The 25,868-nt window shown below is 36.8% G+C and overlaps 1 protein-coding gene across 6 annotated transcripts in view, besides 1 other annotated feature; it reads right to left on the bottom strand.

The window, feature by feature from the left end:
• MYRIP (myosin VIIA and Rab interacting protein) overlaps window positions 1–25,868 on the bottom strand; it is a 451,408-nt gene that overhangs the window by 315,627 nt on the left and 109,913 nt on the right. The window lies entirely within an intron of this gene.
• Window positions 6,983–7,277: an enhancer, noted in NCBI's record as "tiled region #3241; HepG2 Activating DNase matched - State 9:DNaseU". NCBI's record gives its function as "activates a minimal TATA promoter and a strong SV40 promoter by Sharpr-MPRA in HepG2 cells {active_cell/tissue: HepG2}" and the evidence as "EXISTENCE:reporter gene assay evidence [ECO:0000049][PMID:27701403]".

The following is a 25,868-nucleotide window of genomic DNA, read 5'->3' as shown; positions in this document are numbered from 1 at the left end:
CAAATGTTTTGGCTAGATTTTACAATGACATAGTTCAAAATTTAGAAAAGTATTAAAAGTTTTACAATAAAAAGTTTTCCTCTTAAATTCTGTCCTCTAGCTACCCAATTCCCTTCCCCATATCAAAGCTCTGTGCTTTGCATATATGCTTCTAGAGGTATTTTGTGCATATACAGAATATCTCTTTCTCCTCCCCTCTCTCCCTTTCTCCCGCTCTTCCTCTTTTTTCCTACAAAAACAGACAAAACTGTCTTTAATCTTGATTTTCACTTACCATATCTTTGAGATATTTGTGTATCAGTATAGAGTACTTCCTTATTCTTTTTTTAATAACAACATGGCATTCCATTATCTGGATATACCATAGTATGTTTTCCTAATATTGTATTGGTGTATATTTTAAACAATGTTACAATTATAACCTCAAATATATACCATTTCAAATCTGTGAAGTACATCTGTAGGATAATTCCTGGGGATGAAATTGCAAGGTTATAGGCTACAAACACTTGTAATTTTGAGTTATAGCTACTTTGCTTTCCATAGAAGGAATAATGGTTTAAACATCCACTCAGTAATGTATGAGCCTACAATAGTATGATTTTTTAATAGTTCCAAAGTTTACCACATGGTACTTTCAAATTCCTATCCTGATTTTCTTTTTTGATTGGTTTTGTGGACCTGTGTGGAATGAGAGTGTGAAGAGTCAAATGGGCCCTGTTTTATGCCCCAAACTATCTTGGCTTCTCTCTCTTTCCCAGACCACATGACTACTGCAAAACACACCCTACCACTATAAAGCTTCACAAATTTAGGACATATTGAATCGATCAGGGTCCATAATCCATTAAGTTTGAGTGTCTCTACAAAGTCCGCTTAAATACAAACTGCAACATAATAGCAGCGGAAAGCTAGTGAACTCTTGGCCCTATGAATCCACATCTAACGAGAATTGATTTAATAGGGCTCCAAGGGTCTGTATCTTATTGCTAATAAAAGAAATCCCTTCCAGGTCTTTTTCACAGTGCCTAAATATTAAATAGGGCTTTTGATGACTAAGCACCAGAAAATTTAATTAAGAGGGGGATGTACTGATCTCATAGGACAGTGTTCTTCTACTGGATAACTTATGGAAAACAGACAGGAAAGCAATCAAAACTCAAGCACAGGGCAGAGGCACCACAGCATATGGAGTCATGATATCCCAAGCCCACCCTGGGTCAGCTATCATCAGCTCAGAATCCTCTCCCAAAGCACAGGGATGTTCACTTCCACTTTAATCCTAAGAACCTGCTCTAAAATCAGGACCACTGCATCAGAGTAAGGACATGGAACAACAGCAAGTTGTTTTCCATTTGTTTTTCCTCATTGGATGGAGTCATCATAAAACTTTAATAATATTAAATAGAACTAAATAATAGTAAATAGGGTTTAAAATACAGAAAAGAGAGTGTTGTCATAAGTTATGGTTAGCCATCAAAGCACTTAGGTTCAAAAGTTTAATGCACTGCATGCAGCTCTTCCAAATCAGAAAGAGAAAATTTGTAGATCATTAAGATCACTTCACATTCTTGAACCCAGTCTCAGTCATGGGTGCCTCAGATGAGTCTAGAGAACACAAGAGTCAAGGTCATCAGAACTAAAAGTGTGCTCATGTGATCACTTTATCACCACCACATCCACAACTGGAAGCCGCTCCAGAGAAAACAACTATCTCATTTAATTTTTTAAAAGTGGAGGTCATTATGTTAAGTGAAATAAGCCACACACAGGAAAATAAATGTTGCATGCACTCACTCATATCATATGTGGGAGTTTAAAAAGCGAATTTCATAAAGATAGAGAATAGATTGGTAATTACCAGAGCTGGGAAGGAGATAGTAGAGGGAGAGATGAAGAGAGGTTGATTAATGGGTACAAATATACAGGTAGACAGAAAAAGACAGATCTAGTCTTCTATAGATCAATAGGGTGACTATAGTTAACAATAATCTATTACACATTTCAAAATAGTGAGAAGAAAATAATTTGAATGTTTCCAGCATAAATAAAAGATAAATGTTTAAGGAGATAGAAATCCCAATTACCCTGATTTGATCATTACACATTATATGAATGTTTCAAAATATCACCTGTACGCCCAAAATATACACATCTATTATGTATCAATAAAAAATAAAGTTTGAGAAAAGGAAAAAACCTAGGTGTCTTTGTTGATTAACATACCTAAAATAGAAGGAGAATTTGCTAATTCCTATTTCTATAAAATCCAAAAACCAGACCTGTCAGACCTAAAGGATCAATGCTTTCCTAGGAGATATATAAAATACTGGTTGCAGCAAGGTTCATACAACATTTTTATTTTGGCACAAAGTCCCAAGAGTTTACTGCTTCTTAGATGGTTATTGGTCTTTTCTGCCTTCCACGCCGTACATACAATGGGATCAAAGGAAACTGCAGTGACGTGGCCCTGTTCTGTTATTCTGACCTGCACTGAACACACATTTCCAACTCTGAACGCACGGAGAGGTACTAAGCCCACAGAGTTGCTAACATTGTTATGGTGTACATAAAACTCAGCTCTATTTGCTTAATTTACAGTAACTAAAGAGCCCTTGCCAAACAGCACTTGCCATAAAGAACTCAACACAGGGCATGTTCTTGGATGTTGTCCATGACATTTTGTCAAAGCAAGTTTCAAAAGGATCAAACATGATATGTTTCTCCAGTGAGCAAACATTGAATGGGTAACCAACATGACTGTAAAATCCAACTTGGTGGTGTGTCTCAGTAGCCTGGAAAAGTTTTATTTTTCACATGTAAGCTAGTAATTCTACTTTTAGAAATAAATTTTAAGAAAAACCAATTGGAGAAGATAAAATTTTATAATATATGAGGATGTTCACTGTAGCATTATTTATGTTATAAAAAATCATAACCCGAATATCCAGCAATCAAGGAATAATAGACTGAAATGTATTTATATGATATGGTATAATGTGATGTGATGTAATGTATGCTATGACATGACTTTATAATATAATCTAATGCTGTCATATCTAATGATACAGGATACTGTTTAATATAATGTTAAGTGAGGAAAAACTGTATAGAATATATAGAATGCCAATTTGCTTAAAAAAGTCAGTCTACTGTAAAAAAAAGTGTGTGTGTGTATATATATACACACACACACACACACACATACATTTTTAAAAGACTGTATTTCCTCCCGATATAGTTTGGATGTTTGTCCTCTCCAAATCTCATGTTGAAATGTGATTCCCAATGTTGGAGGTGGGGCCCAGTAGGAGGTGTTAGGGTCATGGAGGTGGCTCTTTCATGAATGGCTTAGTGCCCTCCCCACAGTAATGAGTGAATTTTTACTCTATTAGTTCATACAAGAGCTGGTGCCTAAAAGAGCCTGACATCTCCCTCTCTCACTCACTCACGAGTAAAAGCTTCCTGAGGTGTTACCAGAAGCTGAGCAGATGCTTGTACAGCCTGAAGAACCATGAGCCAAATAAGCCTCTTTTCTTTTTAAATTACCCACCAGGTACTTCTATTTTACCTTCAATTGTCTCCCCTTCCTCTTGTACACTCCCTCACATACACATATAGTGACCCCAGCCAGACAGTAAATGATGTGGGGCAGGATTTTATTTACCTTTTTCATTCACTTTTTTCCAAAGTACAGCAATGCATACCATGGGGCTCAATAAATATCCATTAAAAGTAGTAACTGGTAATAAAATGCTGAATATGTAAGAAGACAACTTACCAATGTTTTACAGTGGTTATTTCTAAGGTGTGAAATTAGATATAATTTTTATTTTCTTTAAACTTCTATGTCCTTTTCCTAGTTTTCTATATTGTCATAAATTTATAACCAGAAAGCATTTTTAAAGAAATTAATTTCAATAAACAAAATTATGCTTATTTGCTTTCATATGCATTTTTAGTCTATTGTTTGCTTTAATAAATATTAAGTGCAAATAATGAATAATGTCTCACCATCCATCCAAGTACAGTGAAATATTTGAGCAATAAGAAATCATGTACCATTAAAAAATAAAATAATTTTTCTCCATTAAGATAAGTGAAGAAATAGAAGCTATTAAATCCATAAATTTTACAGAAAATAAAACATACCATTGAAAAGAGAACAGAGCTAAGAACATACTCTCATTATTAGCCAAAGATCTAGTACAACATTCAAAATTCTTCCACTACACTAGCTACTTAAGAGCAAAAAGAATTGAGGTTTGAATAATATAATCCAATGTCCCTTTGGAAAATAGAAAATAGCACTATCTTTCTACAACACTTCCTTTTCCTTTCCAGTATCTTTACTCACCTTACAGGGGGCCCTAAAATTTCAGACATTACCTGGCACCATCTGATATTTTTCATTTAAACACAAACGTATATTCATCATTAAAAATTCTCCAAATACAATAGAGTATAAAGGAAAATGATTCAAAATGCATGCACAAAAAAATAGCTAATGATATCATTGTGTGTATTTCCATGCAGATTTATGTATGTATGATTCAAGTGTGTTAAAACACACACATATATAAAAATATGTACCTTAACATATATTTTATTGAGTAGTATCTACTATTATACAAACATTAAGCATATATTACTTTGCAGTTCTTTAGCACCTCATTCATCTTAAAAACAGGTGTCTAATAAGAATTAGGATAAACAGATAAATAACATGTGTATATCTACACATACACATGCATGCATACATACATACTCATTGATGTATACATATTACACACACCCAGAAATTATACTCTCCTAAATTCTACTTCTGGAACAGATTCTATTTTATTGATTCAGAATCATTTCCTCACTGGAACATTGGCTTCTGTTACTCACTTCATCAGATTATCCTGCCATTAAATCTTTACATTTTGGTTCTGTAATTTTTGAACATAATAATTCCAGAGCTTCAAAATAATTACAATTCTAAGTTATTTTCCTAGATATAGGTAGCAAAAACATGAAAGAAAAAATTATCTCTTTAGAAGTTATACATTTAGGTTTTTTTCTTTACAAAACTAATGGGCACTTTGCAAAAATTCTGCAGATACAAAAATTCTGCAAATCCCACCCACTATCCTATCAACCTAAGACAATCACTGTTAGGCCTTTGTTTTTTCTTTCTAACTTACACACACGTGCAGATAAGCACGTGTGTGTTTCACTAGATGTAATTTCAGTGATCATGATATTTTATGTCCTGCTTTATTTTTTTAACTGCATGGACTTTTTTTCCATGTAGCTACATAGTCTTCATGTGTATCCTTTTCAAGAGCTACAGAAAGAGCCAGATCACTCTAGAGTGTTGCCCTCTCTGGCTGTTTTCCTGCTGAAAGCTCTGCTTTGAACTGGCTGCTCTTTCTTGAGCTGTTTCATGTCAAAATTCCTTAGAGGTTGGCCACAGAAGACAAGGAGATAAACCAAAAGTGAGCTGAGTTTGTGGCTCATTAGGAAATTCATTAATGGGATTGGCAAGTTTTAATTTGAAGCCAAAGTGAGATTTGGGGGCAGCCTATGGTTTTCCAAGGTCCGGAAATGACATTCTAAAGTTGGCTCAACACAAGGACCCACAGAGGCTGACTGCACTATCACTCTGGTGGACAGAGGACTGGCCAGGGCTGGACGGTGTGGGTCATCACTCAGGAAATGAAGCATCTTCTATGAGGAAGGGAGGATAACAAGGTGGGAAGAGCATTGCCCTGGTGCCAGGCCAAGAGGGCTCAAACTCCTGCTTTGCCACTTGTGAGATGTAGAATGTTAGGCACCTCTCCACGCCTTAGCTTTCTCATCTGTTATATTAGCACCATCAGAATGGCTAAAGTGAAAATAGAAGGGCCGGGCTTGGTGGTGCATGCCTATAATTCCAGCACTCTGGGAGTTTGAGGCAGGAGGATCTCTTGAGGCTAGGATTTGACACCAGCCTGGGCAACATAGTGAGACCTCGTCTCTACAAAAAAGTTCTAAAATATTTTTAAAAGTAGGAAGATAAAATTAAAACAGATAATACCAAATTTTCATGAGCATATGGAATAATCAGAACCCTCATATGTTACTGGTGGGAGTGTAAACTGGTACAACTGCTTAGGAAAACTATTTGGCAATATCTGCCCTAATACATGCATTCTCTATGACCTAGCAATCCCATCTTTGGGTATATACATAGCAGAAATGCAGCCATAGGGTCATAAGAATATAGAATGCTCACAGCAGAAGTATCTATAAGAGACCCAAACTAGAAACTACCCAAATGCCCACAGACAGTAGAATAGATCAATACATTGAATACTATAGAGGAAAGAGAATAATCTGTACAACATGCAACATGCAGGTGACTCTTTTGAACATGACTGAACAAAGGAAACCAGACTCGAAAGAGGATATATTTATATAAATATAAATGATACCATTTATATAAAGTTCAAAAATAGGCAAATTAATTTATGTCACTAGAATTCAAGGCTGGCATTATCCTTGGTGAATAGTGATTAAAAGGCAGCACAGGGTGGCTTATGAAACTCAGACAGTTCACACTTCTTGATCTGTGTGCTGGTTACACAGGCATGTTCAGTTTCAGTTTCATGGGAGATGCCAAGCTTCCTGCTTTCTCCTAGGAGACCACAGTTTAGCCAAAGCTGGTTGAAAGCTGCTTCTCTGGACTCTCATCCCTACTTCTCTCTCCTCCTCCTTTTCATTTGAATTTTACTTTCTCTCTCTTTATAATTCTACCTATAATTTAATTCACTATAGTTCTAAATTGTCCTTTTTCCTCCACAAAAGCATATACCTATCATACATAGTATATATCAGTGGAGTGTTCATTCTTCCCTGGTTAGAATTCAAGGATACTAAAAGCTCTTAGTGTCACTAAACAAAATTCACTATTGTTATGAAAGTTAAAGTCAGCAGTAGCCATAATTTAGCAGTTAACCTGTCATTAGTGTTTCTATTTTTCTTATTAAATCATATCTTTTGGGCCTCTGGTCACTTTGTAGCTCTTCTTTGAGTCCCTTTCATAAGCTCCCTTCTTATTTGGGCCAATAAATGAAGGCCAAGCCCAAACAAAGGCCACATTGTATGTTATTGGGCAAATTCCAGTTCCTCTGATGGATGACAGGCCTCAAATATACAAGGACCAGGTGGCCACATCACAGAAACTGGTCAGAGTAAACAGCAGGACTGTGTCTGCACCCATGTCCAGAGGCTTTCCCCAGCCTGAGATGCTCTTCAGAATGTCCTGGTCCAAAATTTGTTGATCCCTTCAGCTAAACTATCCATTCTTCATGGTGAAAGTTAAAAGCCAAAAATAAGAACAACATGGTTTGACAGAAAAAAACCTCATGACTCTACTTTCTCTTTCACATTTTACTATTTGACCTTGTGTGAGGCACATGCACAATGTTAATGTCTCAGACAGGTCATCCCTAGTAGGGAGATTATAACATCCTGCCTATAGGAAGGCAGGGGATGGGCCATCCATAGTCACTTGAAGGCCCTTCCAGCAAGAGACCTGGACTGAAAGCACTAAATGATTTAACCTGGGTTGGAGCAAGATGACCAAGTGTATGGGGGTGGGTAGGCAGATCTGGGCATGGACGCCTGCTCTGTCACTGCCAAGCTGGGTGACTTTGGATCAGTGACCTACCTCATGGAACCTTTGTTTCAATGGAAATAATTAACTGTTATTGGGGATAACAACTAATGTGAAGACTAAGTTAAACCAAGTTCCATAAAACACTAAACTAAGCCAGACCACAAAGACAGATGAGGACAGATTTAGGGACCTGGAGAATGACAACTTGGCTTCAGTGCAACAGAGATACACACGTATACATTTTAAAGTTAAATATAAGTCACAAGTCCTCAAGAGAGTAATTAGAGCCCTGGGAGGAATCTGCCAGGCTGAAGCAACCCAGAACTGCAAGCTCCACGTCGGGGAGTCTTTGTGTATTACGGTGCAAGCATATTTCTGCATGCTGTATTTGCATGCTCTGCCTTCTGATTCTTTCTGTGACAGTGTCTCCCTGAGTCTCACTGCAGCTCATGTGGCTGTGCAACTCAGCACAGGCCAAGGCGAATGTTCTCAGAGAGGCATCATTATTCCAGAACTGGAAGTCCACCCTACCATGTCTTGTTTGCTGCTTGGAGATACTGGGGCTCTCAAGTTGTGAGTGCACATCTGAGCCATGGAGTTGGCCTTCGTGGTCCCTTCTCCCATTCCTGTTTCCTCCAGCCCCATAAATCCCCCATCACTCCCCTGTGGAGGCTGCACTAGCCACAATGGTTCTGACTCCTCTGTTGAAGGGACTAGAGCCAAGGCTAGTGTTTCCAGATTCTCCACAAATATTAATCTTGAGGATTCAGAAAGAAATTAGAATTCCTGAGAATCCTGGGAAATCCCAAAGTCATAAATTTCTTAAACACTTCCAACACTCTGTATACTCTTCACTCATTATTGCAGATACCTAAAAATGTCTTTAACAAAAAGAAATACTGGTTTAGTAGTATTTATAAAGAACTTCAGCCTATAATGAATATCCAAACAGGAAAATGGGGATGAACGTTATTCAATAGAATTTGAATAACATAATATTTGACTCTCCTAGGAAGGTTAACAGTATTACACAGATGTAGGTGTTGAAATTGCCAAATTAAGGACTTATTTTGTTTCTGAAATTTTTTAATATTTCAAAACGTCATTCATAAGATTTGTATAAAGTATATCATGCCTATATTTGTAGATTTTTGCACAAATGACTCATGTTAGCAGCAAAGGAGGCTAGAAACACATACTTACAACATGGCAATAGTGGCCATTTCTCTCCCAAGTGCTCCTGTCCTGATTGCTAGAAATGTTGACCTTCACCTTCAACTCCATACATCAGCATTTCCTGTTCCTGCTTGTCCTTGACATCAGTGAATTCCTTTAAACCAGTAACATCTCTGCATTGACTGTAAAGCATATTGCTCACAGAAGAATTATAATACTTTTCCTTATTTTCATGATGTTTCTACTGATTTTTCTTGGGATTTAGGATTTGGGGAAGTATGCAAATTTCCAAAGTAATGATGAGAAGAAATTCCCATATGGAAACATGAGCCAAGGTCCTCAGTGGAATGCCAGACCTCTAGCTTTCCTGTTGCTTCCTGCAGAACAATGGCCCTGACTTCCTAATCCACTTCTCCTCGAAGCTATAGGGTTCCTGACCTTGTAATTGGTGATCTGTATTTTGATAACCCACCCAGTTCATGAATATACTTGACTCTTCAATTCTATTGTTCCCTGAGCACCAACTGTCATATTTACAGAACCCCTGCCTGCCTTGTGCTCCAGTGTTTCCATACCTTCAAAACTGACAGTCACCCTCCCCACCTGAACACACCCACACTTGAGACTTTCCAGTCCCACAGCCTTCACTCTATCTTTATCTGCCCCGTCCCTGAACCCTGTAGAAGCACATGTAAAGAATCTTAAACCAATAGTGCAGTCCGTGTTTACACCCAGGCACAAAAAGCATCACCTGAACTCAAGGTATGTGGTTTCCAGCGAGAAAGCTGAATGCCAGGGGCAGATCAGCCCCAGGACTCTTACATGAGTTAATTCCTGAGAAAGCAACTCCAGTGAAGACAGGGAAGCTGTCACTGACATGTAAGGCAACAGAATGAAACAAGCTGTCACCAGGTCGTGGGAGGAAGACATAGTATCAGCGAGAGGGAAACACAGTGTGGGACTAGAGGGGAGGTATTTTCCATCTGTTCTAGCCACTGCCCATCTGCCTTCAAATTATATCTGTCCACAGTCTAAGAGACAAAGCCTTCAAACACACCTGAACAACAGATTATTCTAACATTTCCTGTCACCCTCAATTCCTGTCAGGATGCCTCGCTGTATACTGATAACGTTTCTCATCTACAAAAACATTAACTTTTAGAAAGAATAAGTCAGTCACTGCTGCTGTCTGTTTCTTCCCCAGCTGGACTCCAAAGCCAGATTGTGCACATCTTAAAGCTTCTCATCAGATCCTGAAGCCCAGCATATTAAAGCATGCAAAACTAAAGAAGGAAGGTAACCCTTATTTGTTCCCTTTGGACCTTGTTCTTCTCCTTTCCTGAGCTGGTTGCTCTTGCCTGTTCTGCCATGATTCTGCTTGCATAGCATGCTGGTTTGGGCTCTCCTCCAGCTCCCAGCCTGGGTCCCAGACTCGTCTCTGCCACCTGGGGATGGCATTTGTTCATCTTGCTTTCTGAAGCCCATATCTCAAGTGTGATCTTGGGTCCTCACTAAAGAAAAAGGTCCTGAGAGTAGACATGAAAAACAAAGCCTATCACATCTGCTTCTTCTGCCCTCCTTAGCTCCAGGCTTGCAGACAAAGCTGATGTACTGAAATACCACAGCCTGTACTTTTAGGCACAGGAAGGAATCAGTACATGGGCACAGCATCAAGTTTTGTTGGTTGAACTGCATCCAAAATTCCCCAGAGAAGACAAAGGAACTAAGTACTGTCATACCACAACATTATCCAGTGCATGATAGGATAGTATAATCCAGGTGTTCTCAGACATTTATGCAGGCCTCACTCAAGCACACATTGCTGAATGCCACCTCCAGAGTTTCTGATTCAACAGGTCTAAAGCATGAGAATTTACATTTCTAACAAGTTCCCAGGCAGTGCTAATGTTGTTTTCTAGGAGCCTTCCTTTAAGAACCACTGAGGTAATAAAAGAAGCCTACTTTTGAGAACCAGACAGACCTAGTGGTGTAACTTTGAGCAAGTCGTTCAATCTTGAACCTCAGTTTCTTTATCTATAAAAAATATAAAAGATATAAAAGGAGAACAACAATAAATGAATGTAGTCTCTAGCACAATGCCTGGTACACAGTCGTTCTCAAAATAGTATATCTTATCCCTTTCCCTAATCTTAAAACAAGTTAAATAATATTTTGCAAAGTTTGATATTTTATTGCCTGAAACCTTGAATATATTTCTTGAAGGTCAAGTTTATGAGATGTCGTTTTAAAATTCATAAAAGTAAAGATGTATGGGAATTTTACTTAACAGTTTTTGCTACAGAATGAGATTTGGAATTGAGTGGCTTCTTCTCAGAGTTTCTCCTCAAAGTTTTAGACAGTGAAATGCAGAACACAACCATATGATGAGGGATTTTCCAGTGACAAGGACGTATGAAAGCATAAACCTACAGGGCAACTTTTGAAATGTGATTTAGCAAAGAAATATTTTGAGTGATTTTGTGATTCTAACAGATGTTGGCAAACATTTTCTGTACAATTTCAGATAGTAAATATTTTGGCTTTTTGGGCCAGTCTCTATCATAACTACTCAACTCTGCTTTTGTAGCACTGAAGCAGCCATAGATAAAACATAAACAAGTGGAGTGGCTGTGTTCCAATAAAAGTTTATTTACAAAAACAGGTGGTAGTCCAGATTTGGCCCATGAGTATGTATCTTGTCAAACCCTGCACGAAAGGTTCTTAATGCTTAGCTACCAACTTTGCAATGATGGGTGAATAAATAAGAAATCAGAAAGATCATAATGCATGAGACTTTTGCCCATTTTCCTGCATCTAAATTCATCTAGATTGTCAGAGGACCCCTTATTCTAGAGCAGTCCTAGAAATGCTATGTATTCTGTCCTCATTTAAATTCTGGCCTACTCATTATTAGAATTAACAATACTCAATGCAAATTATGATTACTTTAAAATATCTAATTCAGACGGTGTGCCAATGCTCCAAGGAAAGTTTAAGCACATCTCTGAGAAGTGAGGCTCCTGGCCTCTGACACTAGGCACTACCAATGTGTAAGACATATACCCTAAAGGTAGAAAGCAGCCTCAATGCTATTAGGCTACAAGAGTGCAGGTAAGACTCAATGAACTCTCAAAATTCTTGACGATGGATCTCTCTGACCACTTCTGGCCCAGCACAGACCAGGTCAATGAACATTGAAAGGGAGAGATAAGACTCATCTTGTGTTGGGAGGCCAAGGCGGGTAGATCACGATGTCAGGAGATCGAGACCATCCTGGCTAACATGGTGAAACCCCAACTCTACTAAACAAAAACCAAAAAAAACCCCCAAAAAACCGAAAAATTTAGCTGGGCATGGTGGCGGACACCTGTAGTCCCAGCTACTTGGGAGGCTGAGGCAGGAGAATGGCGTGAACCTGGGAGGAGGAGCTTGCAGTGAGCTGAGATTGCACCACTGCACTCCAGCCTGGGCAACAGAGTGAGACTCCGTTCCAAAAAAAAAAGACTCATTTTGTGGGTGCAGGACTGACTGATAGAGTGAGCAGTTTCCACTTTGGAGGCATCTTCCAAACTCCTGTTCTTTTCTATGATGTCGCTTTAAACATTAGTGCAAGCCTCCTTATACAGGATCCTACTGCTCTTTCCATCACCAGGTAAGACAAGAGTTTTGGAATGGTTCTTCCAGGGCTAGAAACCACAGTCCTATCTTGTGATACACTCTTCTGGAATGCCTGGCTTTCAGTGGAGGGCTAATGAGGACCAGCATGGGGCCATAAACAGAATAAAGGCTATGGAACACAACCTAGTAAATATTAGAGGACTATGCAACTCAGGGACATAAGTTACAACTAATTCTATGTGGCAGCAGTAACCTGATACCAAAACCAGATAAAGATATCACAAGAAAAGTACAGACCAATATTCCTTACGAATATAGATGCAAAAATCCTCAACAGAATATTAGAAAATCAAATACAGCAACATATAAAAATGATCAAATACCATAACCAATTAGGATTTATTCAAGGAATGCAAAATTGGTATAACATCTAAAAGTCTATCTGAATTGTACGCTATATTAATGGACTAAAGAAGAAAAACCATATGGTCATGTCAATAGATGCAGAAAAAATATTTGACAAAATCCAACACCCTTTCAAAATAAAAGCACAAACTAAGACCACAAAGGAACTTTCTCAACCTGATAGAAGGCATATATGAAAAATCACAGTTAAAATCATAGTTCATGAATAAAGACTGAATGCTTTCCCCCCTGCCAAGATAAAAAACAATACAAGGATCTCTCATCACTTCTATTCAGTATTGTACTGGAGATCCTGGACAGGTAAGAAGAAGGAAAAAAAGGAATTAAGAGAAGAAAAGAAGTAAAATTATCTCTATGCAAAGATGACATGATCTAGTATACTGAAAATCTTAAGGAGTCCATAAAAAATTGTCAGAACTAATAAATAAATTCAGGAAGGTTTAAGTAAAAGATCAATATAAAAAACAATTGTCTTTATATATACTAACAATGAACAAGCCAAAATGGTAACTTTAAAAATTCTATTTACAATATTATTGAAAGAAAAAAAATACCTGAGTATAAATTTAACAAAAAATTACAAGATTTGTACATGGAAAACTACAAACATCATTGAAATAAATTAAAGATGCAAATAAATGGAAAGATATCCCATGTTTGTGGATTAAATCACTTATTATTCAATAATAAAATGTCAGTACTCTCCAAACTGATCTACAGATTCGATACAATCCCCATCAAAATTCCAGCTGTTTTTGTTCTTTTGTTATCGATTTTTGCATAAATGTATAAACTTATCCTAAAATTCATATGGAAATACAAAGGCAAGAATGGCCAAAATCATCTTAAAAAATAAAAACTAAGCTAGAGGACTCCACATCACAATTTCAAAACTTACTACAAAGTTAGAATAACCAAAACATTCTTGTACTGCCTTAGGATAAACATAGCTCAATGTAATGGAATGAAATCCAGAAATAAGCCATTAAATTTATAGTGAATTGGTTATAGACAAGGATACCAAGACAATTAAATGAGGAACAGTAGTCTTTTCAATAAATGGTACTGAGACAACTGGACATCCACATGCAAAAGAATGAAGTTGGAATCCTATTTTACTTCATATACAAAAATTAAATCAAAATGGACCAAAGACCTCAATTTAAGAGATAAATTTATAAAATTCCTAGAGGAAAATATAGATGTAAATCTTTACAACCTTGGATAGGCAATGGTTTCTTAGAAATAAGCATAAGCAACCAGACAAAAATAGATAAATTAAAATTAAATATTTTTGTGCTTCAAAGGATATTATTAATAAAGTAAAAACACAATCCAGAGAATGGGAGAAAATACTCACAAATCATATATATAGTAAGTGAACTGTATTCATAATACATAAAGAATGCTTACAACTTAGTAATAAAAAGACAAGTAACCCAAATAAAAATGAGTAGAGGATCTGAACAGACATTTCTCTAAAAAAGATACACAAATGGCCAATAAGCCTGTGGGAAGACGCTCAACATCATTAACCATCAAGAAAATATAAATCAAAACCACAATGATATACCCACCAGGATGGCTGTGCTCAAAAAGACAGGAAATAATGAGTATTGATGAGTATGTGAATAAACTGGAACCCTCATACATTGCTGGTGGGAATATAAAATGATACAGCCTTTTTAGAAAAGTTTGGCGATTTCTCAAAAGGTTAAACAGAAGTACCATATGAACTAGCAATTCCACTCTTCAGTATATACCCAAGAGAGGTGAAACATATTTCTGCACAAAAGCTTGTTAATGAATATTCATAATAGCATTATTTATAATAGACAAAGTGGAAACAACTCAGGTCATCAACTAATGAATGGGTAAACAAAAAAATGAAAATATTATTCATCCATAAAAGTGGATGAAATACTGATACACGCTTAACATGGATGAACCTCGAAAACATGCCAAGTTGAAAAAGCCCTACACAAAAGGCAACACATTGCATGATTCCACCTGGACACATAAAGTGTCCAGAATAGTCAAATCCATAGGGCAAAAAAAAGTATATTAATGATTGCTAGAGGTTGAGAGAATGGGGCTTCTTTTTGGAGCGATGAAACTTTTCTAAAATTAGACAGAGATAATATTTGAACAACCTTGTGAATATACTAAAAACCACTGAATTTTACACTTTAAAAGGGTGACTTTTGTGCTATGTAAATTATAGTTCAATTAAAAATATATTTTGGAATATTTGTACGGGCCTATTTCTGCATTCTATTATGTTCCATTGATTTATGTATCCATCACTCTGCCAATACCACAGTTGTGATTACTGTAGCTATACAATGTCTTGAAATATACTAGACCTATTGGTCGCACTTTATTCTTTTTCAAAATTGTTTTAGCTATCTAATTCCTTTATTTCTCGCTATAAATTTTAGAATAATCTTGTTGATATCTAAGATTTCTTGCTAGGATTTTGATAGGAATTGCATTATATTTACATATCAATTTGGGTAGAATTGAGATCTTTAATATGTTGAGTCTTCCAATCTATGAACACTGTATGTCTCTCCATTTATTTAGATCTTTAGTTTATTTCAGCATATAAGTCTGGTATCTGTTTTGCTAGATTGACATCTAAATATTTCATTTGTTTTTGAGTGACTCTAAACAATATCATATTTTAATTTGATACAATCTATCACAGTATCCATGTGTCCATATGTTTTAATTTGATACAATTTATCACAGTATCCATATGTGTCCATGTTTGTTTCTAGTGTACACACACACACAGACCACAAACACACACACAATGAATTTTTGTAGGTTTATCTTGGATCTAAAACTAAATTTGCTTTTAGTTCTGGGAGTTTTCTGGTGATTCCTTGGGATTTTCCATGTAGACTATCATGACTTCTGCAAATAAGAGTAGTATGCATCACACTTTCCAAACTATATGCATTTTATTTCCTTTTCTCATCTATTGCATAATCTAGAACTTCTAGTACCAAGCTGATTAAGAGTGGAGAGAGTAGACATCCTTGACATGTTCCTGATTTTAAGGGGGAAGCATTCAGTCCTCCACCAATAAGTACAGTGGTAGCTGTAGGTTTTTTGTACATGCTTTTTGTCAAGTTGAGGAAGTTACCTCTATTCCTATTTTTTTTTTTGATAATTTTTTTCAGGAATGTGTGTTGAATTTTGTCAAATGCTTTTTCTGCATTGGTTGATATGATCACATAATTTTTCTTAATTACTCTTTCAATAATATGAATTACATTGATTGTTTTTTTAAAACTGAACCAGCTTTGCATCTCTGAAATAAACCTCACTTGCTCATAGTGTATAACTCTTTTTATATATTGCTACATTTTGTTAATATTTTGTACAAGATTTTTGCATCTATATGCAGGAGGTATATTGATTTGTAATTTTCTCCCTTTATCTTTTTTTTTTGTACTGTCTTTGTTTCTTTGGCATCAGGGTAATACTAGTTTTATGGAATAAATTGAGAAGTAGTCCCTCCTATATTTTCTGCAAGATTATGTAAATTGGTTTTAATTCTTCTTTACCCATTTGTTAGAATTTTCCAGTGAAGCCACTGGATCTGGAGATTTATTTTTGGGGACAGGGGCTAATTTTTCAATTTCTTTAATAGTTATAAGGCTACTGAAATAATCTATTTTATATTGAGTGAGTTATAGTAACTTATACTTTCAAAAAACTGAAATTCTCTAAGTTCATCTAAGTTGTCAAATTTATATGTGTATATAGCTCTTATTATTTTTAGGTATGTGTCTTCAATGCCTAGTTTGTTGAGGGTGTTTCTCATAAAGAGATGCTGGATTTCAAATGCTTTCTCTACGTCTATTGAGATGATCATATGGTTTTTGTTTTTAATTCTGTTTATGTGGTGAATCACATTTATTGATTTATGTATGTTGAATCAACCGTGCATTCCACAAATAAAGCCTACCTGATTGTGGTAAATTAAATATTTCATGTGCTTCTGGTTTAATAGTATTCTGTTGAGGATTTTCACATCTATGTGCATCAGGGAGACTGGCCTGTAGTTTTCTTTTTTTGCTGTGTCTTTGCCAGGTTTTGGTATCAGGGTGATGCTGACTTTGCAGAATGAGTTAGGGAGAAGTTCCTTCTCCTTGGTTTTTTGGAATAGTTTCAGTATGGTACCAGCTCTTCTCTGTATGTCTGGCAGAATTCGGCTGTGAATCCATCTGGTGCAGGGATTTTTTTGGTTGGTAGGTTTTTTATGATTGATTCAATTTTGGAACTTGATATTGCTCTGATCAGAGTTTCAATTTCTTCCCTGATTCCATTTTGGGAGGTTGTACATTTCCAGGAATTTGTCCAACATCAACTGAAGAGAAAAAAGCTGGACGCATTCCCCTTAAAAATAGGAACAAGCAAGGATGCCCATTCTCTCATCAGTCCTATTCAACATGGTACTAGAAGCCCTAGCCAGAGCAATCAGGCAAGAGAAGCAAATAAAAGGTATCCACATAGGAAAAGAAAAAGTCAAATTGTATTTCTTCACTGACAATGATTCTATACCTAAAAAAATCCTAAAATATCCGCCAAAAGGATCCTAGACCTGATAAATAAGTTCAGGAAAGTTTCAGGATACAAAATCAACGCACAAAAATCAGTAACATTTCTGTGCACCAATAATGTTAAAGCTGGGATCCAAATCAAGAAAGCAATCCCATTTACAATAGACACACACAAACACACACCTAGGAATATTTCCAACCAAGGAGGTGAAAGATCTCTCAAGGAGAACTACACAACCCTGCTGAAAGAATTTACAGATGACATAAACAAATCAAAAAACATTCCATGTTCATAGATTGGAAGAATTAACATTGTTAAAATGGCCATACTGTTCAAAGCAACCTACAGACTCAACACTACTCCTATCAAACTACCAATATTAGCTTTAACAGAATTAGAAAAAAGTATTCTAAAATTATTATGGAACCAAAAAGAGCCCAAATAGCCAAAGCATTCCTAAGCAAAAAGAACAAAGACATCACATTACCCAATTTCGAACTATACAATTAAGCTACAATAACCAAAACAGCACAGTAGTGGTACAAAAATAGACACATAAAACCAACAGAACAGAATAGAAAATCCAGACATAGAGCCTCACACCTACAACCATCTGATCTCTGATAAAGTTGACAAAAAGAAGCAATGAGGACAGGACTCCCTATTTAATACATGTTGCTGGAATAGCTGCCTAGCCATAAGCAGAAGAATGAAACTGGACCCCTACTTTTAACCATATATAAAAATTAACTCGAGATGGATTAAATATTTAAATGTAAGACCTAAACTATAAAAGTCCTAGAAGAAAACCTGGGAAACACCATTCTAGACATCGACCTTGGCAAGGAATTTATGACTAAGTCCTCAAAAGCAATTGTAACAAAAACAAAAATTGACAAGTAGAACCTAATTAAACTAAAGAGTTTTTGTACAACAAAAGAAACCATCAACAGAGTAAACAAATGACCCACAGAATGGGAGAAAATATTTGTAAACTATGCACCTGACAAAGGTCTAATATCCAGAATCTATAAGGAACTTAAACAATTCAACAAGCAAAAAACAAATAACCCCATCAAAAGCTGGGCAAAGGACATGAATAGACACTTTTCAAAAGACGACATACAAGCAACCAACAAGCATATAAAAAAATCCTCAATGTCACTCACCATCAGAGAAATACAAATCAAAACCACTATGAGATACCATCTCACATCAGTCAGCATGGCTATTTTATTAAAAAGACAAAAAATAACAGGTGTTGGTGAGGTTGTGGAATAAAGATAACACTTACACACTGTTGGTGAGAATGTAAATTAGTTCAGTCACTGTGGAAAGTAGTTTGGAGGTTTCTCAAAGAATTGAAAACAGAACTGCCATTCAACCCAGCCATCCCACTACTGGGTATATACCCTAAGGAAAATGAATTGTTCTGCAAAAAAGACATATGCACTCATATGTTCATTGCAGCACTATTCACAATAGCAAGGACATGGAATCAACTTAGGCACCCATCAATGGTGGATTGAATCAAGAAAATGTGGTACATATACATCATTGAATACTACACAGCCATTAAAAAGAATGATATTATGTCTTTTGCAGCAACATGGATACAGCTAGAGGGCATCATCCTAAGTGAATTAACACAGGAACAGGAAACCAAATACCACATGTTCTCACTTATAAGTGGGAGCTAAGCACTGGGTATACATGGACATAAAGATGGGAACAATAGACACTGGGGAGTACTGGAGAAAAGGAGGAGGGAACAATGGCTGAAAAATTCCCTATTGAGTACTATGCTCACTACCTGGGTGATGGGATCATTTCTACCCCAAACTCAGCATCACACAATATACCCCCATAACAAATCTGCACATGTACCCTCTGAATCTAAAATAAAAGTTGAAATAATGAAAAAAGAAATATTCATCATATTCGCTTTATTATTCTTTTGATGTAGACAAAGTCTATATTGATATTGTCTGTGTCCTCGGTGATACTGACAATTTGTGTTTTCTCCTTTTTTTCCCTTGTGAGTCTTGCTGAAGATTTATTTTTTAAATCATTTTGAGGAACCAGACTTTGTTTCATTTATTTTTATTGTTTTTCTGTTTACAACCTAAATGATCTCAGTTCTGATCCTTATTATTTCCTTCCTTCTGCTTGCTTTGGGTTTATTTTGCTCTTTTTCTGAGTTCTTATGATGGGAACTTAGATTATTGGTCTGAGACTATTCCTCTTTTCCAGTATGCATTTAGTACTATAAATTTTCTTCTATGTACTACTTTAGCAGTTTCCCATAAATTTTGAAATATTGTATTTTCATTTTAATTCAGTTCAATGAATTTTTATTTCCTTTCAGACTTCCTCCTTGACCTATGGATTATTTAGAAGTGTGCTATTTAGTTTCAGTGTGTTTGTAGATTTTTCCTGTTTATTTTTCTGTAGATTTCTAGTTTGATTATATTGTAGAGAACACGCTCTATTATTTCACAAGTTTTAAATTTGTTAAGGTTTGTTTTATAGCCCAGAATATGGTCTCAATATATATTCTGTTGCCATTTGAGTTCTGCTGTTGTTGGGGGAAGTGTTCTATAAATGTCCATTAAATCTCGTTGCTTGACTGTGGTGTTGATTTTTTCTACATCCTTGTTGATTATCTCCCTGTTTGTTCTATCGGTTGTTGGGAGAGGTTGTTGAAGTCTCCATCTCTAACTGTTGGCTTGTCTATTTTCAGTGTTAGTTCTACCAATTTAAATTTTACATATTTTCAAGCTCTGTTGTTTGCTGCATAAACATTTAGAATCACTATGCCTTCTTCGTTGATCGACCTGTTTATCATTATGCAATGCCCCTCTCTGATTATGGTGATTTTCTTTGCTCTGAAATCTAGCTTATCAGATATTCATATAGCTAATCCTGATTTTTAAAATTAATTTTTATATCATATATATAGTTCTATACTTTTACTTTCAACCTATCTATATCGTTATATTTGAGGTGAATTTCTTGTAAATAGCATATGACTAGGATATGTTTTTTAAATCCACTTTGCTAATTTGTATCTTCAACTGGTATATTTAGGCCATTTACATTTAATGTCATTGATGTGTTAGGGCTTAAATATGAAATTTTTTACTATTTTTTATTTCTGTGTTTACTTCCTGTAGATTACTTGTCCTACCTTCCTGTAGATTACTTGAACATTTTTTAGAATTTCCTTGTGATTTATGTAGAGTGTTTTAGAATATATCTCTTTGTATAGCTTTTTCTAGTGGTTGGTAGGTATGACATTTTATAGCCATAACATACATCATGCTCTACTGGTATAATGATTTTACCAGTTCAAGTGAAGTATAGTAAACTTACCTTCCTTTATGTTCCTTTACCCCATTCACAATATAATTGTCTTATTTATTCTACATGCATTTAAAACATCAAACAGTATTATAATTTTTGCTTCAACTGTGAAACATAATTTTAAAAATATATTTAGAAAAGGATAAAGAAAGCCTATTGTATTTATCAATATTTTTGCTTGCCATGTTCTTTCTTCCTTCTTGATGTTCTAGGATTTCTTCTGTTATCACTTCCTTAGCAAAGGTCTCCTGGTAACAGATTCTTAGTTTTCCTTCATATGAGAATGCCTTGATTTCTCCTTCATTCCTAAAGAATATTTTCACAAAATATAGGATTCTGAGTTGACAGTTTTTCCCTTTTAGCACCTAAAAAATACATGCTATTTTTTGTTCTCGCCTGTATGATTTCTGTTGAGAAAGCTATCATTCTTATTGTTTTCCCTGTGCAGGTATGGTATCATTTTTCTCTGTTTTCAAGAGTATAGTTAGGATGTGTCTTGGTGTGGATTTCTTTGGGTTTATCCTGTTTGGTATTCACTCAGGTTTTTGTTTGTTTGTTTGTGTCTATTGTCAAATTTGGGGAGTTTTCAGCCATTATTTCTTCAAGTACTTTTTTCAACTCTCTTTCTCCTTTCCTTCTGTAACTCTAATAATATAAATTTAGATCCTGTATTATAGTCCCATAGCTTCCTGAGGCTCTATTCACTTTCAGTCCACTCTACTTTCTCTCTGTTGTTCACACTAGGTAATTTCTATTGTTCTACCTGCCAGCTCACTGATTTTTTTCTTCTGTTCTGCTATTGAGCTTCAGTTATTGCATTTTTCACATCTAAAATTTCTACTTGGTTCTTCTTTATATCCTTTATTTCCTCGCGGAGACTTTGTACTTCCTCGTTAAGGGTTTATTATTATTATTTGTTTCTAGTATGTTTGAAATTGCTCATTGAAATATATTTTTTAATCATGGCTGCTTTAAAATCTTTGCCTGATAATTCCATCACCTCTGCCCTCTCAGTCTTGGCATATATTGATTGTCTTTTTCATTCAGTTTGAGATGTTCCAGGTTCTTGGTATGATGAGCAAATTTGTATTGACACTTGTATACTATTGTATTATGTTCTGAAACTCTGAATCTTATTTAAACCTCTGTTTTAGCGGCTCTCTCTGACAACACTCTGGATTTACTGCTGCCAAAGAGAGTCAGAAGTCCAGGGTCCTCATTTGACCTCTGTTGATACCTGAGGAGGGAGCTCCTTGTTGCTGCTGGGTGGAAATTCCAGCTCCCCACAAGATCTCTGCTTACTCTACAGTGGAGGTGGCCTCATTGTTACTGGGCAGTGGTGAATATTTTTACTCTCCACTAGGCCTCCTCTGACACCACACTGGCTGGGAGGGAGCTTCCTTGTTTCTTCCAGGTGCTTGTTGGTCTGGCTGTCCAAGTGGCCCCACTTACACCACAAGAGAGGTGAAGGGCTCATTACTGGCCATTAAGGATAAAAGTCTCAGCTTCCTGCTTAGCTTTTTCTAGGTAGGGGTGGAGGCCACAGATTTTTTTCTGTGTCGTTTGGATGGAGTAGAGCAGTTATCATGTAAAAATTGTCTGTCTTGTTTGGCTGCCCTTTTCCTAGTCCTTTGGCTTTTGCTGGTTTTGGAGATGGGAACATTTTCATCTCTGACAATTGGTATTTCTGTGACAACTGGTATTGCCAACTTTTTCACCTTCAAGACTCAAATATATGAGGCAAACAAAACAAAACAAAACAAAACAAAAACCTAAGAGAACTCAACACCATGCCACTCCTCAGTACCCAGGGAACACAGCCAGTCTGCCTTCTTCTGTCCACTGTTCATAGTCCTCTTATTATGTTTGTCTTAGATATGGTGAGCCCCCAGGGTTTTTAGTTATACTTAATGAGAAGAATGGAAAAAAGTACATCTAATCCATCTTCCCAGAAGGGGAAGTCAGACAGCCGTCAACACTTTTTTTTTTTTTTTTTTTTTTGAGACGGAGTCTTGCTCTGTAGCCCAGGCTGGAGTGCAGTGGCACAATCTTGGCTTACTGCAACCTCTGCCTCCCAGGTTCAAGCAATTCTCCTGTCTCAGCCTCCTGAGTAGGCTGGGACTACAGGCATGTGCCACCACACCCGGCTAATTTTTGTATTTTTAGTAGAGACGGGGTTTCACCATGTTGGCCAGGCTGGTCTTGAGCTCCTGACCTCAAGTGATCCACCCACCTCAGCCACCCAAAGTGCTGAGATTACAGGCGTGAGCCACTGCACCCAGCCAGCTGTCAACATCTTTACAATGTACCTGGAGTTGGGGTATAACTTCCCACCTGAATATGTGCAAATTTTGTAACACAGGCTGCAAATTCATCTCTCAGTTTTCAAGATTCAACCCCCTCCCTCAAAAAACAAATGGTTTAAATGATGATTGTTTGTACTTAGGCAACACAGTGAGTTTAAATATTCCCTTGAAAACAGTTAGGGGAGTGGAGTAGAGTTCCTGTCACTTAACTGTCTACTACGTACACTGGAAGACAAAAACTTAGCAAAAGGCCTACTGTCACAATTGTGGAAACAGGAAGAGTTCACCAGTGCTCACTTGCTGGTTGATTTTTGCAACATGCTTAATTCCTGGGGACTAAGAATCTACATTTAGAAAATGAGCAGGTTATTTTTACCTAAATTCAAGACTGATTTCTAAATTCCACTTTAGCCCCAAAATTCCATCATTTATTCTTGAATATTCTCTCTACTTCATAGAGGAAACTAAGGTCTGATAACGTTAATTTTAGTGAGAGGCTTCCCACAGGTAAAGGGGAGGCATAAAATTCAAGTAGAGTTTTACTGCCAGAGGGATCCTTTGTCATTCCCAAAAATGGCAACAGTGGACCAGAATCATCTCTATGTCCAGTGATCTTTTGAGCACATCAACAATACTGAAGCCTCTAATGACACAGTAGAGCAGAATGCCTTAAAAGTGAAGAGGCTGGTATAGGAGGACTGGCCCTTGTGACTCACGAAGAACCAGCCCAGGAGGGAGACTCTCCCTCACTATGGTGCTAGGATGAGCACTGCTTTGGAACCACCTTTAAGACAGAAATGTTTCTCCAGGAGAAAACAAACATTCTCAGTAGCTGCAAAGCTTCCACTTCATACTGAAAAAGCTTCCCCTGTGTATTTAAGCTATCAAAGCAGAAACTATTGTTTTCTCAGAAATTCACTCTTCATTTGCCCACTGATCCATTCTCTATATAGAAATGCTTTGTTTCTTTAATCAGAAAAAAAGCAGAAGCCACTGTATAGTTCCTGCAGAAGGTATGCAGGGAAACAGAAAATGTATGAAAAAACCTCCCTAAATAAAAGACATCTGAGACTCTAATTCAAATGAAAAACAAAATGTCTCAGCAGCTAAGAATCTTCTCTAACCACAAGTCAGTACGTGAGTGAATATACAAAATAAAGAGAAACATCTAAGGTCTAAACAATTAAACATCAGTTGTAAAACAAACACTAGCATTTCTTTCTGCTTGTAGAGAATAATCTAATAATAATAGGACAATATACCTTACCTTAGGAAAAGCCAAACCATAAAAAACATTTGAGTTTACTAAACAGATATAAAAATTTAAAGGTATCTATAATTATGGAATTCATGGACTAGATCAACCAGTCACAATTAAGCCAGTAAGAGTTCTTATCTCAGGTTCTTATGAGCATTTACTGTGTTCTAGAGGTTGCCCAAAGAGCTTTCATTTTATTTTTTATTTTTTTTTCATAGTCAAAGGAACATTTATTAATATAGGGCTTTCATTTTAAATGAGGATGAAGACATTTAATCCTCATAACTCTCCAGTCAGATGCCCCATCATCTTCCTTGTATGGTGAGAAAGGTGAAGGCACAAAAAGATGAAGGTACATGCCCAAGGTCACAAGTCAGGTAAGGATACTCTAGCTACAAAACAAACTAGCATCAATGAACCCCTTAGCTCTTACATTTTCAGTAAGATAGATAGTGTGATCAAGGATCTGGCATTCAATACCAGCTCTGTGCCTCTGCTTTGAGGTTCATGTAAAATGAATAAATAGTGTACCAAGGAAGGAGGATTAAAAATACAGTCATCAATGAATTTCTCTCTCTCTCTCTCTCTCTCACACACACACACACACACACACACACACACACACCACACATACCCGCACACATGGCAGAGAATGTGGGCCATTACAGGCCTACTTCAGGATCACACGAATCTGTTTATATTGTTACAGCAACATAAGCGCTTAGATGTGATTCCAGACCCACACAATTGGATAAAACTGGTACCAGAGGGGCCAACCCAGGAGGTGACAAAAAAGAAGGCAGGAAGGGAAGTGGGAGTGGCAGATGGACAGGGCAAGGCAAGGCTGCATGGCAAAAGCCCAGGCCTGGAGAAATGCAGATTGCTGGCACCTACCACCTCCTCTCAGCACTTAGAGATACTGCACAAGAAGGGAGACAAGCCAAAGCCATTGGCCTGTGGCTAGGACCTTGCAGTCTGACCTAGGACCTTGCCTGAGCCTTGGGCTTTAGAGCAGGAGAGGGAAATCTAGCAGGGGCACCCAGGTAGTCTCCAGCCTGATAAATAAGGCAGCAGGTAGGGCGTAGCTGGAATTCTGAAAACAATCAAAACCAGGTCCCTCAAACCAGGACTCAGACCAGCCTGGGAAGTGGTGAAGCCCCTACTCCAGGTACATTTCTCGCACGTGAAGAAAACCAAAATATTTCACCTAAAAATACATGTCTTTGATACATTTAGAGATTGCTTTTCAGAAGGGCTGGAAATATAGGCATAGCTAAAAAGCTGTCTTTTGTGGGAGAGATTTGCATCTGTAGAGAGAATCTGCATTGATGTAGCCATGCTTTCTCTGAGGCCCTCCCTTGTCCAAGTCTAAGAAAGATTAACTGAGAGTCTGACACTTTAAAAGTCTGAAAGAAACATTTACCATCTAGTCTCCCTGAGGGCTGCTACAGCTGTAGTTAGTCTGCATAACAAGACTACCTTTGCTACCACC

This window comes from Homo sapiens, chromosome 3, assembly GCF_000001405.40.
Source record: "Homo sapiens chromosome 3, GRCh38.p14 Primary Assembly".
Taxonomy (NCBI): Eukaryota; Metazoa; Chordata; class Mammalia; order Primates; family Hominidae; genus Homo; species Homo sapiens.
The sequence above is the reverse complement of the archived record's forward strand: the minus strand, read 5'-3'. Positions and strand labels throughout refer to the sequence as shown.